Source organism: Homo sapiens, chromosome 15, assembly GCF_000001405.40.
Source record: "Homo sapiens chromosome 15, GRCh38.p14 Primary Assembly".
NCBI lineage: Eukaryota > Metazoa > Chordata > Mammalia > Primates > Hominidae > Homo > Homo sapiens.
The window spans coordinates 83970281-83986944 of record NC_000015.10 but is presented as its reverse complement, the minus strand read 5'-3'; the positions used below and the strand labels follow the sequence as shown (position 1 = coordinate 83986944).

The window sequence follows — 16664 nt, the reverse complement described above, 5'->3', positions numbered from 1 at the left end:
AGCCTGGATCTGTCCTTGGGCTGGAGAACCACCAGGTTGAATTCTGTAACACATATGACCTTGGCCTCTGCTGCGTAATCTTACTCTTAACTTGAAGTAATAACAAAGTTGATCTTTCTATAGGCACCATCTCTAATTGATACACCCACAAACTTCTCTTCCTAGTTGAGATTTCTTACTCAATTGTCATCCGAACAGTACTCCATGCCTACACAGTTTCTCTCATTGAATGAGGCTTTCAGGAACATAATTCCATTTCTCAATTACTTCAACTGAAAAGATTTGTAAGATTCAGAAAGTATATTTAAAGATGAGAACATTTGTTATGTAAAGGGAATTAAACATAAATTGAACAAATTAATTGGGTAGGTTTTGGAGGAAAAATAGAAATGAAAATGGATCTTATTATCTTAAAAATTAAAAACAAAACCTTTTATTAGACATATGAAATTGCTTCTGTTTTGAATGGCTGATCTTTAAAGGATGCAGAAACACATCTAAGGAGGATGTACCATGTCAAAACTTCTTTATACAAGCTCCAGGGGTCTCAGCCTGATAAACTTATGTTAACGCCATTCCATCAAGTCAATCTATTTAAAATGAACTCAAATAAATATTTATTTAAACTGACCAGGCTCCTCTATATCATTGTAGTACTTATATGGCCATAGGTCAACAGATCACTTCAACCTTGTCAGCCTCTCTTTCCTTACAATTTATAAAATGGATTATTGAACCAAGTTAGCAGTCTTCAAAGCATAGTCCATGAACCCCCCAGAAGTCTATGAAGTCAAAGCTAGTTTTATAATAATACGAAGCCATTAATTAGCCTTTTTAAAAACGGTATTGACCTTTGCACTGAGAGTGCAAAGGCAGTGTTGGTAAGACTGCTGGCACCTTAGCATGAACCAAGACAGTGATATTGAAGTGTACCAGTAATTACTGTATTCTTGACTACTATGTTTTACTTGCAGAAAAAAAAAAAATGCCAGTTTCCCTTAAGAATGTCCTTAACGGCCAGGCGTGGCGACTCATGCCTGTAATCCCAGCACTTTGGGAGGCCGAGGTGGGTGGATCACTTGAGGTCAGGAGTTCAAGACCAACCTGGCCAACATGGTGAAACCCTATCTCTACTAAAAATACAATTAGCTGGGGGTGGTGGTGTTCACCTGTAATCCCAGTTACTTGGGAGGCTGAAGCAGGAGAATCACTTGAAACGAGGAGGCAGAGGTTGCAGTAAGCTGAGATGCCACCACTGCACTCCAGCCTGGGTGACAAAGCGAGACTGTCTCAATAAAGAAAAGAAAAAAAAAGAAATGTCTTTAATGAAGTAGTAAAAGGTATTAATCTTACTAAATCTTGACCCTTGGGTCCATACGTTTTTCATATCCCATACGACACAATGGGAAGTACACACAAAGCACTTCCACTGCATGCTGAAGAACTGGTGGCTTCTTTCATGGAATATGATTTTTACTTGAAAGAATGACCAATAAACTATGACAAAAAAGTCCACACTATGATTTAAAGTTGGGTATTTGGTAGATATATATATATATATTTTTTAAATGAGCTGGCCAATTCAATGACACAACTGACAGTATTTGTTGCCAATGATGAAAAAGGTTTGATGTGAAAATTAGAATTTTGGAAAACTGGTATCCACCACTGTAAGTCTGACAGCTTCCCAAAACTTAAAGACTTTTTTTTTTATGAGATACACGGTGATTTTTTTAAATGTGTATTTTTTTTACATTGCATAATGAAATGCACCAACATTTGGAAGGCCTGTATCACTCAGTGAGCCAATATTTTCCAAATGACCAATGTATGGTGTTAAAAAATCTTGTATGGGTAAAAAGTCTATTCAAAATGCAAGAAAAAAACAGCAGATTTCATTAAACAGAGTACCAACATTTCATTAATATAGTTTCAGATTGCACATTTCAACTAACCTTTGAGAAATGACCCTTTGTCTAGTTTTAGTGTAGAATTAAAGAGTATCCACAATTATCTGAAAAGATATTAAAATATTCTTTCTCTTCCAGCTAACACATTTGTATAGCACACATTTATTTTCTCCATATACTTTAACTAAAACAACATTTCACAACAGATGTGGAAAAAGAATCCAGCTGTCTTCTTTTATTATACCAGACATTAAAGAGATCTGCAAAGATGGAAAGCAATTCCACTGTTATCAGTAATTTTGGTGGCAGGGGGAGGGTTTTCAAAAAATATGTTATTTGTATGAACATGTTATAGGCCCATTATTTTTTCTAAATAGATTAATGGAGATATTTTCAATGTTTCTTGGTTTTAATTTCTAGTGAGGTAAACAGCAATAGATACAACTCACATTTACAAAAGCTCTTTAGGCTCCTCAATCATTTTTAAATTTTAAAGAGTCTAAAACCAAAAGCTCTGAGAACTGCTATGTTTTAAGGTTTATTCTACTTCTAAAATTTCATTGTACTCTTGTGTTCATAGTTCTAGCATTAAAAATTCAAAAATTAGATTTTTTCTACCTTTTTAAGATATAGCCTAATAGTTTATTATTTTAAAAAACTGAATTTTACCTAAGTTTTTTCTGATGTTTCACATACGAGGCTCAATGCACAAAGGACATGATAAAAGTAAAACTTGCATTTTGAAAGTACCTTGTGATATGCAAAACAGTTTCACATCTGCTGTGTTATTTGTGTCTCTTAACGATCTCTAAAGGCAGATAAGGTAGAGCTGGAGCTCTTACATGTGAATCAAAAGAAGGCACAATGTCTATAGTACTTTGTATACAAACAGCAAGATTTGAAGGCAATAAAGAATGCAAAAGTAAATTAGTATCTGTTATGTAAAATAAAGGAAATGTGACATTTTTACACTGGCATAGAGATCAGAATAATATGTGACTTAATACTGTGTTTTGAACATCTCAAAACACTATGATTCTTATTTTTGGATTGTATGACATTTAAAAATTGCATGATAATAGAAAACTACTTCAGATACCCAAGCTTTTGACAAGGCTACGTATTTGTGTGATACTCAAATACCACTGGTGGGTATTCAAGAGATACGGCCCTTGGTTCTGATTGGCCATGAAGTAGTCATGGGATTCTGCTTCTCAATTACCTCATCAGAAAGGTTAACCCCTGCCCTGCCAATCTCATGGGGCTGATGTGAGCTCAAATAAGATACCACATCTCCTAGACATGGAAGAGCTCTGTAAATTCTGATTTGCAGTTCCAACATAATGTAGGATTACTATTAATAAGCTTACTTTTAAAATGGCCTTATATTGATTTTATTTTTAAATGCCAAGTGCTGAGTAAAGGGGGAGTGTATATATGCTTAAACTTATTCTTGCTGGATCCAGTCATATCACACCTCTACGACAGTGATTGGGATGATATGGCGGTTGAATTTAAAAATTCCAACGTATATGTGAAAAACACATCTTAACATTTTTTAGTTTCTTTCCTAAAGAATCCTGTTGGAAACACATGCTTAGGAGAGGAATTTGAAAATATTTTCAAGAAAACTGGAATAGCCATTAAGAAGGTAGTGCAAAAATGAATACTGCATTTTTATTTTACTTACTTTACTGAGGGCTGTAACAAGGTTCCATCCTTGGTCCATGTATATGTGGCCTCACTGGGGGTAATAAGGTCACACAGTATATTGATGACCTCTGTCCTTTTTGTAATGTATACTGTATTTCCAATCCTGGAATTTATTGTTTTATTAAATGAAATTGAGGGAGGTTGGCTTTGCCTCATGAGAACAGGTCCTTTCGGCTTGAATGTCAGCTTGCCTGAGTTTTTTGCATGCGAGCTTTGGGACACACTCCCTGTTTCCCCTCTGAGCTGAGCAGCAGGAGGTGTCTCTTCCTGGATGCCCCGCCACTGCATGTGTGTTGGCTGTGCCTTGGCTAATTCGGCCACCAGCTGATATATCAGCTGGGACGCAAGATCATCGCTGACCTCTCCGGTTTCCATGAGCTGACTCATGTTTCTTATCAGCTCATCAAACTGGGCTGTATCCATGCTATATGCTCCTTGTTTAACTGCTGCTTCAAACTGCTTATTCTTCAACTCCCAGGAGTTGGTGCTTCCTGCAGAATTGCTGCAGTGGCCTAACAGAGCTCTCAAGAAAGGCTGGTTACTAATGTGGTCATCATCCAGATAAAGGTCATTTTTGTTATTCCACATTTGCCTCATTTTGTGCCATGTGACTCCCAAACTATTGGCTTCGCTGTGGTCCATCCCAGGATATTCCCTCATAGGCTCCCTGAGGGCTGGGCGTGCGATGAGCCGGTTGTCAGTACCAATGAGCTTGAGCACAACTGTTTCCTGTGCAGAGCCTGCAATGCACCGGTACACGCCGATGTCGGGGGCAGCAAGACCATGGATTTTTAGTGAGCCTGACTTGGTGATGCCAAGCCGTTTGGAGTTCTGCAGGCAACGGCCATCCTTCTCCCACTGGATCAGAGATTTCTGGAATCGTCGCACGGGGCACTTAATAATCACGGATGTGTTGGGCAGCAAATAGGCTCTGCTACCAATGGTCAGGTTAATACGCTTCTCTTCCCTTGTCTGAATGTAGACTCTCTGGACACTGAGGATCTGCGGACCCTGCTCACCAAGTTTTGTCTTCATCTCTGATTTGATTTCTCCAAGAAAAAAAAAAAGAAAGAAAAGAAAATACGAATAAACATCTCAAAAATACAGACTTTTTGACAGTAATCTTTCAAGGCTGATACAGGCTAACAAACGTATCTTTTTTACTATTTTAAAACATTCAAGAATAAAACCATGAATAACATTATACATCCACAGATTGGGGTAAATTTCACAACTATCTAGTACTTTAGTGGCAAAGAATGCAAGTGTGAATGAGGTGCATGAAAATGTGTAAGTGATTTGATAAAACCCTGGTTTGGGGAGGCATGAGGTTAAATGATTTGGTGAAATGTAGGGAATAGTTATTTCTAGATTTGAGGAATATTTGTTCTAGGCCATGCTCATATAATGGCTCCATAAATACCCAGCCTCTGGGTACATGTTTCCATCAATAAGGGTCTGATATGTCAGGTCTCTACTATCTGGCAGAGAGGCCCTCTGGCTTAGAGCCATGGGTACCCCAAATCTGAGGGAGGAAGTGAGAGTGGGAATGTGAGCAAATGTATTTGAAGGGTCTGAAAGGAGGCTGAGGTTGGCCAGCTGCAGAATATAACCCAAATATGTCGATTAAATTGGCATGGGGGTCTGAAGAAGCAATGGGTAGCCGTGATCAAAAAAGAACAGGTGGCATAGGCAGTTTGAAGTCAGATAAACCTGAGTTTGAATCTTAGCTCTGCCACTTGGACAAATTCTTTCATCTCTCTGAGCCTCAGTTTCCTCACCTGTGAAATGTGAATAATGTTAGTGCTTTCAATGGGAGGGAAGTAAAAATTAAGTCAGATTGTTTATATCAAGTGCACAGCACAGTAGCGGGCACATAATGAGCTCTCATATATAACTGCTGCCACCACTGATCTGGTGACAAGGGCAGGTGCAGCCAATGCACAGCAGGGAAGACTAAGAGGGAACAGAGATGGGGTTGGCTTTGACTTGTTCCTGGGCATCGATCGGCTCCTCTTAATGGGCTAGGCCCAAAGACAATACTTCTCAGATCCTGTCCCCAAGAGAAGTATTTCTCTCCCTTGTTTCACCTGAGAGAAGGCTCAATGTGTTCTGGGGTGATTCTGAGGTAGGCATGGGAGAAGGACAGTGATATGGGTGGAAGTCTGGATCCTCTTTGATGATGTATTTAGGTTCCTGAGCAGATTGTGGAGTGTAGGATGGATGGCTTGGAAGCACTAGTGAGTGGCAGAAGAGATACTGGACTAACATCAAGAATACCTCTGGATTTAGAAGGTCATGCAATGGGGACCTAATTTACCTTGGGGGACCCCAGTTACAGGTCCTCCTTGTTGTAGCACACGCTGGGAGAAGAAGCAGATTGAGACTTCTCTTTCATAGCCTTCTCAGGCCCTTGGCGCTGGCTACAGTGTGTTTACTGGTACCCTGAGAACTGAGAATAACTGAAGTCCTCTTGCACGCCTCATGAGCCCTTTGAAGTCTGGCTGCCTACTGGGGTTTCGTGGTGTCAACAGGTTCAGGGAAACAATGGAGGTGAACCCATAATTTCTGTGGTAGAGAATGTTCTCAGTGAAGGACATACATAATTTGTTTGTATACAAATTCCATACAGATGCAATTGGTAGGTCAGGCCTATTGATCTCAGGATGGGTCCAGGGTTCTGCTTGAAAATGCTCTGTCACATCATCTCTAAGTGGAGCTGGATGAACTGCCACATACATACTTTTACTTTTTGGGAGACAGAGTATCTACAAAGTATGTCAAATGGCCCAGCCAGTTAAGCCATGTAAATTTCCCCTAATTTGGCTAGAATACAATTTTGAACTTTCTACTGTTCAACAATCAAAAGCTGAAAAACATGTATGGAAGACTCCCTGGTAAATTTATAGTCAATCCATTACTATAGATAATATAGATGGTGTTCAAAATACTAAATCTTCACAGCAAGGGCTCAATCAACAGAATGTGTCTGGCCATAGCACTGGAATAGGGTCTTGGAGGCCTACTATGGTACGAAGTGTTAACCCCATAGTTGTTCGATTATGGACAAGTCAGGCGGTTACTGGCAGAGTGGCCTGAGCAGGTGAGAAATGCTCATGGGGTTCCAGCAGAGGCTGTTTACTAATTCTTTTTTTTCTGACCATATTTCTGACCATGTCCATACTGGTATGTGCAGGTTCAATATCAACTCTGACCACAGATGCTCTAAAAAAAATGGCTCTCAAATTTTGCTATTTGTTAGAATCACCTGTTATTGTTAGTATTCACTAATCTCAGTATCCTGGGTCCCATCCCCAGAAATTCTGACTTACGGGGTGCAGCCAGGACATCAGAATTTTTTAAAGTTCCCCAGTTGACTGAAATGTGCAGCAAAGTTCGAGGACCATTACCCCAGCATGTACCATGAATTAAGCCAAAGCACTAGAGAAAGGCATTCCTGACCCAGTTTCTTTCACTGAAAGACAATTTGACAGGAAGCTGCTGGTCAAGAGGGAAGGGAAAATAGGAAGCAGCATCTGTGTTGTCTATGAGCACATTCTAGTCTTCACAATATCCAGTGTCTTCTGCAAGAGGATCATGGGAGGATTTCTTTCTGGTTTTAGCATCAGAAATCATTATACTTTACTCTGAGTAATTAGCTCATTTCCTATCTAATGAATTCCTAAACTGCAATTGGCAAGGTTGCCTTTTTCAAGATGGCTGTTAAAGCAAGTTTGGAGCCAAATTAGTGCCTACATGTAAAAGGAATATAAAATTCAAGACACAATCACATATTAACGTTGTTTGTTCTCCTTTTTTTATTACTCACCTGCTTCTATTTTTACTAATTGGATTGCATGTTATGAATACTTAGAAGTAGCCTATTGTAACAAGGCAAGGTATGCCTACCCGTGTAAGTATCATTTTTATTTAAAAAGATCCAGGTGGACACTGTCTGGCTATGGGCCTTTCAGTGGTGGACAATATAAAAGATGGATGTGCACATGGATGGTTTTGTAACTCACTTCTTTGCAAGCAGAGCATAAACTGTGTTCAGTCAAACTTTTGAATTAATACAACTAAGGAATATGTGGAGATCGATTGTTTCAAGGTAGCAGTGGCTGCTACAGATCGGGTGGAAGCTTGAATGTTCTTGCTCTCACTGGGATGGTGCGGAAGCACACATGGGGAAACGTCTGGCTAAACAGCTCAAGCTGGGGATGACCTGATTCTAACATGAAACCCACAAAGCATCCTGGTGCCCTGGGACCAGCAGGAAAGTGGGTTCCAGTGATGCTCATTTCCACTGGTACCACATGTCCCTCAGCTGAGCTTGGGGCTTAAAGTTGATGGGATTCTGACTCCTTCTAAGGGAGGCCATGAAGCCTCAGGTGGTGGGCAGGGCATAGCCTTGGTGAAGAGCCTGCCCAAATGGTGGGGTGAACACAGAAGAAGCCCAGCTGCTCCCTGTGGCTGCATGCCCATTTACTGGAAGGCAGGCCTTGTGGCCCCAGATGGTCCCTTTCCCAACTCTGCTTTGGCCATTGCTCACACTGGGGTATGGGGCATTTTGACTGGCAGGTGTGCCTGGGGAGTAAACGGGGATTCCAGCCAGAGATCGGAATTCATGGGCTCTGCCAGGCTGCCAGGTTCCACAGTTTGAGCCACTTCCTTTCTTGGGGCTCCTGTGAGTTCCTTGAGAGCAATGCCTGGAACGTGGCATCATCAAACATAGTTCTTGGGCAAGAAACCGGTCTGGTTTGGGGTGACCTTCCTCTCTCATCTGGAGATGCCCCAAAACAGCAACACTGGCCAAGCCTGATTAGGCAGGGGCATCATGCACTCTGCAGACAGTGGCCAGGTACCAACTGCAGCACCCTCCTGAAGGGGCTGCTGGGCTGTGCAAGAGCATTAACCCATCCCTCCACCTCTCCCACTGTGCTAAATGTGAGAAATGCCACATTCTAGAAAATGAAATGAGCTTTCTTCTGTAACTCCTCTCTCTGGGTCTTTGTGCAGTCTGCCACACCCAGTCAAGGCCAGTTCTGGGTGCCCAAGGCCATCTATGGCAATGACCTCAGCTCCTTGCTTACTGGGTCCTGCCTTTACTCCAGTCATATCCCTGGCATGGCTTCAAGTCCTGGTGCCAGGCCAGGTTTCTACCCCAAGCCATCTGGCTGGATATTTCTGCATGGTCTTGGCAGCATTTGCTCTGGCCATGACACAGCATCAATACCTTCCTATTACCCTGCTGGAACCCTGGCCTCTCAGGAACCAGCCCTGAATATGGCTGCTGGGCTGGTGCTGGTTTCCACTCCTCCCAATAGGAGTAAAGATCTGAGAAGCTCATTTGAAGCTGTACCAAGAACCTGGGCAGATACTTTGGATTCTCTTCAGGCTTCTCTGAACACAGTGGGCTGAGAGGAGGCCACCAGGGATGCTGTGGGTGGATTCTGAAATGAGCAGTGGAGGCCCCTGAGGCCCATGGAGGCCCGGCTACAGTAAATTCAGGTTGCTTCTGTGTTACTCTTCCACCAATTTCAGTCTGGCTTCTGCTCCCAACACCACATTAAATGTTACTTGGAAGAGACAACCAAGGGCCCCCTAGTGACAAATTCAGTGCCTTCTCTTCAGTATTCTTACTTGACCGTCTTAGGGCATGTGGTAACTTTAATCACTCACTTCATGAAGAAGTCTCTCCTCCCCAAGATTTTTTTTTTACCTTTTTTTTTCTGGTCCTTTCTGACCACCATTGCCAGTACCCAGCTGGCTGTTTCTACCCCTCAGGTGCCAATGCACAGCCACTATCTCTCTTGCTCTATGCTTTTCCTTGGATGATTTTGTAGTTTTAACTAACAACTCTAGGTTAATGCCTTCAAGTTTATCTGTCTAGCCTAGATCTCTTTCTGGAACTTCAGACCTAATTATCCACTTCTTACTGGAAATCTCTTCCAGGTCCCTCAAGTTTAAATGATCATAATCTAAACCAGCAGTCCCCAACCTTTCTGGCACCAGGTACTGGTTTCATAGAAAACAGTTTTTCCACAAACCAGTTGTCGGGGTGGGGATTGGGGGCTAGATGGTTTTGGGATGAAACTGTTCCACCTCAGATCATCAGGCATTAGATTTTCATAAGGAGCTGCAACCTAGATCCCTCGCATGCGCAGTTCACAATAGGGTTTGTGTTCCCATGAGAAGCTAATGCCGCTGCTGATCTGACAGAAGGCAGAGCTCAGGTGGTAATGCCTGCTTGCCTCCCGCTCACCTCCTATTGTGCAGCTCAGTTCCCAACAGGCTATGGACCAGTATCCGTCCATGGCTTGGGGGTTGGGGACCCCTGATCTCAACATGTTATATGCCCCCTACCCTATCCCATCCCAATTATTCTCCTCTTCTTATATTCCCCAAGTTAATGGCGTCAACTTCTGCCAATTTACTCAAGCCAGAAACCAGGGAATCATCTAGATCATGGGTCCCCAACCACCGAACCCCCTGTTAGGAATCAGGCCTCACAGCAGGAGGTGAGTAAGGCCAGTGAGCGAAGCTTCATCTGTATTTACAGCCGTTCCCCATCACTGCCATTACTGCCTGAACTCCGCCTCCTGTCAGATGAGTGGTGGCATTAGATTCTCATAGGAACACAAACCCTACTGTGAACTGTGCACGTGAGGGATCTAGGTTGCGGGCTCCTTATGAGAATCTAATGCCTAATGATGTGTCTCTGTCTCTCATCAACCCCGGATGGGACCATCTAGTTGCAGGAAAACAAGCTCAGGACTCTCACTGATTCTACATCATGGTGAGTTATATAACTATTCCATTACACATTACAATGTAATAATAATATAAAGAAAGTACACAATACATTTAATGTGCTAGAATCATCCCAAAACCATCCCCTACGACTGGTCCGTGGAAAAACTGTCTTCCATGAAACTGGTCCCTGGTGCCAAAATGGCTGTAGACCACTGATCTAGATTTCCTCCTGTCCAGTGGTGTGCTGGCCCTGCCTCTCCCTGAAACACAAGTCAATGAGACTGCTAGCAACTATTCCCAACTCTGCATTCAATGACATCACATTGGTAGCTGGAAAACAGCTACAATGGGAGTATTTACACTATGGAAATAGGCGACCACAACAAATGATAGCTACCTCTCCCCACTCACCACCCTACTACCGAAGCCAGCTGTTCAATATTCACAAACCCACCACCGTCTCTGTCCTATAGCTCCCAACTCTCATCAGGCATCGGGAATTTAGAGGACACATGTGAAACATCATTAGAATTCATCCCCATTGCTTCTACTCTCATGCTCTCTCACCAAGATATTGTCATATCCCCTTCACTAGACTCCCAGCCATACTCTCATATTTCCCCAATATATCTATATAGCTCTTAGAGTAAATGAACTAAAATAAAACCTGACCAAGTCACTTCCTTCTTGGATACAATTTTAACTCCTTCACATGGAGTTCAAGAGTCTCTATAGCTAACTTTGCAAGCTCTCTCTTGAACCTATGTTCTAGTCCTATGGAATCTGCTGAAGTTCCCCCAAACTTACCACTCCATTTGACACCCCCTACTTTTATCCACACTGCTCTCCTTCCTCACATTCTTCTGTATCTACCCACATGTGGGCCCGATGAACAGACATGTCATTCAGAAGTCTGCTCAAGAGTTCCTCCTCTGTGAATTTCTTCCTGACCTCTAACCACCCAGTGTCACTGACCACTGCCTTCTGTTTGTTGAATGAATTAAGGCAATGAATGAGTAAAAGAAAAAGTAACACGTACGTCCTGGGACCCTGCAGGAAGTGCCGCCAGCCCAAGAGGGTGCTGGTGAGGTAGGCCTCTGCCTGGCTGGGTCTCTACGACTGTAGCTATGACAAGCAGGGATGGGTGTTACTGGAAGCAGCCAGAACTAGCAAAGCTAGAGGAGGAGTTAGAGCAGGGGAGACCATATTCTAATGGTAAAGTCCAAGAGGTGTGTAGGAGGCTGGAGAACTAAAGACGCAGGCTGGCCAGGTGCAGTGGCTCACGCCTGTAATCCCAGCACTTTGGGAGGCCAAGGTGGGTGGATCACAAGGTCAGGAGATCAAGACCATCCTGGCTAACATGGTGAAACCCCGTCTCTACTAAAAATACAAAAAAATTAGCCGGGCATGGTAGCAGGTGCCTGTAGTCCCAGCTACTCAGGAGGCTGAGGCAGGAGAATGGCGTGAACCCGGGAGGCAGAGCTTGCAGTGAGCTGAGATCGCGCCACTGCACTCCAGCCTAGGCGAGAGCGAGACTCCGTCTCAAAAAAAAAAAAAAAAAAAAAAAGACGCAGGCTGTGTGCCAGTACAAGGAGAGAGACCACAGGCGGGAGAGATGAGAGTAGATTTGAGATAGCCCTGGGAAGGGGCTGAGGCATATTTTTCTTGACATTTCAATAAAATAGGGCATGCCTGGGTTCCTCTTCCCTAATCCATCCTGATCTCAGTACTTTGGGGAAAAATAAAAATTCTTCTTTACCAAAGCTCAGGAACCCTAAAAGTCATAATTTAAAAAATCTAAAATCAAACACTACATATTTCTGTTATCCTTCTTTTCTACAGATGCCTGATTGGAAACCAAGATAGGTAGATTTCTAACAGCACTTTGAGAATGAACCACATCTAACATATTTAAAAAGAATGTCCATGAATACAATTCATTCTGATAAACATGTTGGGGGATTATATAGAAAAAGACAAAACAGAATATCCAGAGGTGCTGTGTACCTACCCCATACAAGCTCATACCCTAATAGGCCAGAATATACAACACAACTTACTTATTACATTTTATCCTGTGTTAAATCTATAATAGAAATGAGATAAAAAGACCTTAAAAATAATCAATATTTTTGAGCTTTTAGTGTGTGCCTGGCATTGATTCGAAGCACTTTATAGGTATTAATTCATGATTCTCAGAATGGTCCCGTGAGGTAGGTATAAAGACTATTCTCATTTTACAGATGAGAAAACTGAGACCCACATAGGTTAAATAACTTGCTCAGTGTCACATGATGAGGTACTGGAAGAACTAGGATTTGAACTCAGGTGAGTTAGCTCAACCACAATGTCATATTATCCTTCAGACATTAAGTGCGACTGAGAAAGCTTACTGGGGAAGGTAGGGTTTGTGTTGACCCTTCAGGAGCAGGAAGAACTTCAGTCACTAGCTATGGGGACAGAAAGAATTTGAACAAGGGGACTGTGCAGGGATTGTTTGGGGAGAAGCAGGCGGTGGGTGTCATTGGACTATAGGGTATGCTGTTGGCCTCTAGGGGGAGCAGAAGACATCTTTCCCACCTGACTTGGACCTGCTGCACACCAAAAGGGTCAGAGCCAAGAAAAATTACCCCTCCAAAGAGGATGGGTTTTACTTAAACCCAAGGCACCGATTAGGCCACATTTTCTAGAATTGAAACCTTGGTAGAAAATAAAGTTCACAGCACTACTGGGCCTGATTTTCTTGTCTACGGACCCCCTTCCATAATGGATGGAGTAGATCATACATTTCTAATCTGAGGAGGAGAGGGGGTAGATTTGAGGTGAAACAGAGAGGAAAATCACGACATTATGCCACTTTAGCCTTGATATTCCTAATGGAATGAAAGACAAGTTCATTGATAGAGAAATGGGTCAGTACAGTAGTTAGGAAATAGTTGCTATGGTGAATTTCTAGGGCATTCTTAGAAAATAGGGCACAAAGCCATTATTGCCCCTCTAAAATAGCATAAATATGAAACATATCAAATTAGCACGGTGATATTATTTTCTTTAGGAAATCCTGGTGGCTCAGGCTAGGGAACCAACCCACCAACAAACAAATCACTTGAAAGGTAATACCAGGGTTGAAGCTGAGCAGGGGTCAGTACAGGAGGTTAATGAAAGGTATAAAGATTTGGCGATAGAGTTGGTTAAGTGGAGACCTAAGGAATGCCGGCTAAGGTTTCTAGTGCAAGAGCAGAAACTGGGGATAATAAGGAGATATGGAAGAACCAGAGGTCATGGTGAGGCACTAACTAAATAAGCAGGAGTGAGTTGAGGGTAAGGCAGAACAAGAAGCTAATTCTGAGTGCCAAGTAGTGAGGAAGTCTAAGGGGTTACCATGCCAAGGTGATGGGGTCAGTGGAATTGATGAGGTTGGGAAATTGGGATATCAGGTGTTAGAAAGGTCATCATCACAGATATTGGTTGTCTTGGATGTTAGGAAACGTTGGAGAGAAATCATGGTCCTGGTGGTGGTGTGTCCTGAAGAAGGGTGAAGAGTGTCTTGTAGGGTCTGCACATGGTGCCTTTGAAGGTATGAGACGGGGCAATCTACGTGCTAAGTGTGTGAAGACAGCAGGGAAACGGTGTAGAGAGGATAAGAGAATGCCAACCTCATCTCTTGCTCTGTCATATGGTGGTGAAGAGGATGCTATGTGAAAGTGTAGAAGCAGAACCTACATTTCAGCAAGCAAGGGCTAGTGATCAAAGATTATGGAGTGAGGCGAGGCTACAGCTGAAGTGGGGGCCCAACTCAGGGTGCGTTGGCTGTGCTGGGAGCATGCATTCCTGTCTCTTGTCTACCTTCATGACCTACATGTTTGGCAGGCAGGAGTGGGGTGGAGTAAAGAAAAAATATTACTGTCTTTTTTTCTTGTGTTTTTTCTTTCTCCCTACAACTTGTAATTTTCTCTGCTCCTCAATGCATGCCAAAATAATTTATAATTTCATCTTGTACCACATTGGATGCCATAATAACCACGTTGTATTTCCACATGCTATTCTGTTATTATTTTAGAGGAAGCTGCCAGTATCACTTTAATTTCACTCTCCTCTAAGGCAGTTTTTACAGTCTAGCCACACTGCTATGCAACCATCCGCAATTAATAAAAATCAGATAGAGAGGCAACTTGAACGAAGCATGATAGTACGCCATATGCTACAGACACTCCTGAATTCCAGGAGACTTTACAACTTGGAATCTCAAGTTTTTGGACTCAAGATTTTGGAAATGTGTTCCTCAGGAAAAAAATGTTAATGTTGTCCATGAATCAGCATAGAGAGGCAGCTAAAAACGTGGGCTAAAGAATCAGACAGACTTGTGGTCAAGCAGTTCAGCTGGCAGCCAGGGAGCCTTAGGCAAGTCTCATGCCTTTTCTATGGCTTGGGTTTCTCATCTCCAGATGGAGATAGTATCTGCCTCACAATGTTGTTCAGGGGACTAAATGAGATAATGCATGCAAAGAACTCCACATAGTAATTGCTCAATAAATGTCACTACTTAAAAAAAACTTAATTATTTGTCTTATTTTGTTTTGTGAGTTTCTCCAGGAAAGGTGTTGGTAAATTGAAGTTTTATATATATGTTATATATCATATATATATAACATATATATAAAACATATATATAAAAGACATATATATATATATGTTTTCCTCTCCTAAGCAGCATTAAAATAAGAATAGTTCATTTTTAATTTTTTTCCTTACCAAACGTTCAGGAGGGTAACTGATATAATAAATGTTATTTCACAGGTGAGTAATTAAAGATAGTGAAAAAGTGGTAAATGAACTCCAAAGCTGTTATTTCCACTATGCCTGTTCCCTACCTCCCTTCCCAACCTCCTCACCACCACTCTGCTGCCTGCTTTTCAATTGCTGTCATGGCTGTCATGGCCGCCCTCGGCTTACATGTTTTAACACACAACTCTTTTTTTCTTTCTTTCTTTTTTTTTTTTTTTTTTTGAGACAGAGTCTCACACTCTGTCGCCCAGGCTGGAGTGCAATGGTGCGATCTCGACTCACTGCAACCTCCGCCTCCCAGGTTCAAGTGATTCTCCTGCCTCAGCCTCTCGAGTAGCTGGGACTACAGGAGTGTGCCACCAAGCCCGGCTAATTTTTTGTATTTTTAGTAGAGACGGGGTTTAACCATGTTAGCCAGGATGGTCTTGATCTCCTGACCTCATGATCCACCCACCTCAGTCTCTCAAAGTGCTAGGATTACAGGCGTGAGCCACTGCGCCTGGCCCACATAACTCTTATATGAAACATACATATTCATGTGTAAAAATATATTCTATCATGTACACTGAAAATACAGATGAATGCTACATGCATATTAGCTTTGGCTATAATGAAGCCATAATATGAACTCTTTATAGTAAGCTCATTATTCATAATTAATTGAGGTGTACAAACTGCCATTTTTAAATCAAAGTTCTTTCATGTTTTTATCCTTGCCAATTTTAGATTATACACAAGAAAAAATACTTGAATGCTTAAAAATACGTAGCTCTTCTACTTTTAATTAAGTCCAAATGCAATCCTAGCAAAGTGAACCAGGAGGTATTTTGGCTTAACTTCTACATGGAACACTCCTGAACTCTAAGCAGAAGGAATTATGGTAAAGTAGAGGACATAAATCCAAATGAGGAAGCCTAAAAGATGCATTTGTTAAGTGGGCGGACATTTCTTAAAACAGACTTTTCTTAGAACTATATCTTGGTCTTCCACGTTCTACTGATCGCTGCCGAAAACAACACTGAGTACAGCTTGAGTTGCCTTACCCACAGATTAGAAATCTGTTGACGTATGGAAAATAAAGACATCGGGACAAAATGAACAGAATCAGCATATCTTGGTGAAGCGCGGACACCGCATACTTACTACTGCACTCAGGCATCTGGCAAGATCTTACAAGAGGGAGCCCTGGTAGATCCCTGCACATCATCTCACTGAGGGGGATGCGCCGACCTTTGGCTGCCAGCCTTTGACACACCTGCTTTCTTCTCTGGATTCCAACACCACAACTGACAGAACACTGAAATGAGAGTTGTGCAACAGAGTCAAATGGAGCATGAGCAGGCAGACCCAGCCAACAACAGCAAAGTCTCCAAGGGTGAAACAAGAGGAAATTTTCAGTACGGATGTGCCAAGAAGAAAGCCATTTCCTAGGCTTGAACATCTTTTATGTCATGGAGAGTTTCTTCCTCCTCTCCTCCCCTTCCCTCCCCTCCCTTCTCT

The 16664-nt window shown here is 42.3% G+C and overlaps 1 protein-coding gene across 10 annotated transcripts in view, besides 1 other annotated feature; it reads right to left on the bottom strand.

The window, feature by feature from the left end:
* Window positions 1-16664, bottom strand: part of ADAMTSL3 (ADAMTS like 3) — a 385720-nt gene that overhangs the window by 52898 nt on the left and 316158 nt on the right. For all 10 annotated transcript variants that reach the window (XM_011521823.3, XM_017022434.2, XM_011521822.3 and 7 more), the window contains 2 exons: window positions 16308-16461; window positions 3601-4672 (listed from right to left, as the gene is read on the bottom strand). In XM_011521823.3, coding sequence (XP_011520125.1) covers window positions 3601-4672; window positions 16308-16461 — 1226 coding nt within the window. The remainder of the gene's footprint in view (window positions 1-3600; window positions 4673-16307; window positions 16462-16664) is intronic.
* Window positions 3033-3222: a silencer, noted in NCBI's record as "silent region_6764". NCBI's record gives its function as "represses an Ori minimal core promoter by ATAC-STARR-seq in GM12878 lymphoblastoid cells {active_cell/tissue: GM12878}" and the evidence as "EXISTENCE:reporter gene assay evidence [ECO:0000049][PMID:35858748]".